This window comes from Homo sapiens, chromosome 6 (genome assembly GCF_000001405.40).
Source record: "Homo sapiens chromosome 6, GRCh38.p14 Primary Assembly".
Classification (NCBI taxonomy): domain Eukaryota; kingdom Metazoa; phylum Chordata; class Mammalia; order Primates; family Hominidae; genus Homo; species Homo sapiens.
The window spans coordinates 111,044,284-111,047,554 of NC_000006.12; the positions used below are offsets into that span (position 1 = coordinate 111,044,284).

Below are 3,271 nucleotides of genomic sequence, written 5' to 3' on the forward strand. Positions count from 1 at the left end.
GACTTAGCCTGCAGTACCTATAGATTCATTCTATATATCTTCTCATATATGACATCCCAGTCACAGCTTCAGTGATACAACCAAAATCTGCCTAAAGATGGATCTTCCAAAAGAACTCAATTGTCATCAATCCTCTCATTAGGAAGTTGCAACCAGGGGAATTTTATTTAACAAGAAGGAGAAGGAAAATTGAAGAAGAAAATCATATTCACTGCCATGAGAAACCTATTGCTTTCATCCTTCCATGATCTCCCTCAGTTCTGGAGTCGCCAGGTAAGAAGAGTACAGGCATATTTTTAGGACTATATAACTTTGTGGCATACCAACTCAACAAAGCACATCTTTAATTACAAATTTCTTTTCTTTTTATTTTTTATTTATTTATTTATTTATTTATTTTTTTTTTTGAGATGGAGTCTTGTTCTGTCGCCCAGGCTGGAGTACAGTGGCATGATCTTGGTTCACCGCAACCTCCGCCTCCCGGGTTCTAGCAATTCTCAGGCCTTGGCCTCCCAAAGTGCTGGGATTATAGGCATGAGCCACCATGCCTGGCCGAGTGTTCTAATTTCTCCACATCATCACCAATGCTTGCTATTTTCCATTTTTTCCCCATATAACACAAGTCCACTTATGTATATTTTCCATTTTTATTACAGTTATCTTAATGGATGTAAAGTGGTATCTCATTGTGGTTTTGATTTGCATGTATCAGATGATTAATGGTGTTGAGCATTGGAATTTTTTCACTCTCTTGATGATGTACTTTGAAGGACTAAAGTTTTGTTTTAATAAAGTCTAATTTACACATTTTTTTCTTTTTTTTGCTTGTGCTTTTGGTGTCATATCTAAGAAACTATTGCCTAGTCCAAGGTCATAAAGACTTACTCCTGTCTTTTCTTTGAAGAGTTTTAGAGTTTTAGCTCTTAGATTTAAGTATCTGATCCATTTTGAATTCATTTTTGTATCTGGTGTGAGTTAGAGGGTCCATCTTCATCCCTTGCATATGGATATCCAATGTCTTGGCACCATTTTTTGAAAAGACTATTCTTTCCTCATTGAATGGTTGTGTGCTCTTGTCAAAAATCGATTGACAGTAAATGTGAGGCTTTATTTCTGGACTTTCAATTCTGTTCTGTTGATTGATATGTCTGTCCTTATGCCAGTACCACTCTGTCTTGATTACTATAGGTTTGTAGTGAGTTTTAGAATTGGGAAATGTAAATTCTACAGCTTTGTTCTTTTTAAAAACTGTTTTGACCATTCTGAGTTTCTTAAATTTCCATGAGTTTTAGGATTAGCTTGCCAATTTTTGCCAAGAAATCAGCCAAGATTTTTGTTAGGGATTGTGTAGAATCTTAGTTCAATTTGAAGAGTTTTTCCATCTTAACAATGTTACGTGTTCTGATCTGTGAACATAGGATATCTTTCCGTTTATTAAAATCTTCAATTTCTTTCAATGATGTTTTGTAGGTTTCAGCATACAAGCTTTGTACCTCTTTTGTTAAAGTTATTCCTGTGCATTTTTTCTTTTTGATGCTATTGTAAACAGAATTTTCTTTATTTCATTTTCTGTTTGCTTATTGCTGCTATAAAGAAATACAGTTTCTCTTTGTATATTGATCTTGTATTCTGAAACCTTGCTGAACTTGTTTATTAGTTCAAATAGTTTCTTAGTGGATTCATTAGAATTTTCTATATGCAAAATCACATCATCAACTAATAGGATACTTTTATTTCTTCCTTTCCAAGCTGGGTGCCTTTTATTTCTTCCTTTCCAAGCTGGGTGCCTTTTATTTCTTATTCTTGCCTAATTGCCTTGGCTAGAACCTCCTTCACAATGTTGAATAGAAACCGGGAGAGCGGACATCTTTGTCCTGTTCTTCATTTTGTCTTGATGCTTCATCTGAAAAAGAATCAGTTATTTTACCATTAAATATGCTGTTACCTGTGGGTTTTTTGTAGAAGCCCTATATTAGGTTGAAGAAATTCTCATCTATTCCTACTTTGTTGAGTGTTTTTTTTTCATCATGAAAGGGTGTTAAATTTTGTCAAATGCTTTTTCTGCATCTATTGAAATGATCCTGTGGATTTTGACGTTTATTCTGTGTGTGTGTGTGTGTGTGTGTGTGTGTGTGTGTGTTTTAGGCTTTACTTGGATCAGGTAGGCTTAAGGCAGGGGCCATGCTGCAGGAGAAGGGCCTGTAAACCAGTCAGTACTGCTCTTTCATGCAGCCCTGGGACCTCAGGGCTGAGCTCCACAGGCAAGGGGCCCGTTAGGCCCCTCAAAGCAGACACAACCACTAACAGGAAGGAAGGTCAGGCTGGCTTTAGTGCAGGGAAGGGTAATGTTGGGAGGGAGACGTTCATGAAGGAAAATGGGTAGCTGAGGCTTTAAAGGGCTTGGATGGGACACGGGTTTAGGGGAAGTGAAGAAGGCCAATAAAGTCTTGGGGGTAAAGAAGGGAATAAACAGGAGAAAGGAACAAGAAGGCAGGTGCTGGGGTGTAGAGTCCAGCTGCTCTCCACAGCCTGGGCAACAGGCTGAGTATGGGCAACTCAATCCCACCTCCTGGCCTTCAAGGCACTACTTGTTGCCCCAGACAGCCATCTTTGTGAACACAGGTCTCAGGAGGAAGCAGCTGGATTTCATGTAGGCAGAGATCTCCAAGCCCTCAAATCGGGAGATGAAGTCCTTCAGGTTTGGGAAGGCGTCCAACCACTTGGGCTCAAATACTTGGTTTCTCTCAAGGATGCCATACGCGATGAAATCCACAAGTGTGATCTTGTCCCCAAGAAACAATAGCTGCTTCCCCAGAAACTGTGAGTAGAGCTTCAGCATTGCAGGGAGTGCCTCCAGGTATTCTGGCTTCAGTTTCTTAAAATCTGGGTTGTAGCAGAGTCTGGCCAGCTGCACGTGGTTGTCCACAAGCTGGTTCTCCAAAATGTCTTCCCAAATCTTCTCCCCTTCTGTCTCCCCACACAGGTTGTGCTTGTAGGCAATGCAGCCCAGGATGGCCTTGCTCTGGGTGATCTTGTGAGCCCCATCAATCAAGTAGGGCAGATTGGGAAAGTCCAGGCCCAGCTTGAATTTTTCATTCAGCCACTGGCTTCTGTCATAGTCAGGAGCGTCCCCCATCATGTACTTCTTTTCCTCATAGCTTAAGTCTGTGTATTGCAGGAGCAGGCAGACGGCGTGGGCCAGCCCTCAGATGTCCCAGTACCCCAGTGTCACGGGCATGGTGCTGGTCGGTGTGGATTCTGCAGAAAGGCC

The 3,271-nt window shown here is 40.8% G+C and overlaps 1 pseudogene across 1 annotated transcript; it reads right to left on the bottom strand.

Moving 5' to 3' along the window:
• Positions 1–2,135: 2,135 nt before the first annotated feature.
• On the bottom strand, positions 2,136–3,271 carry GSTM2P1 (glutathione S-transferase mu 2 pseudogene 1; annotated as a pseudogene). Its single transcript, NR_002932.2, has one exon. The product of NR_002932.2 is annotated as a glutathione S-transferase mu 2 pseudogene 1 (transcript).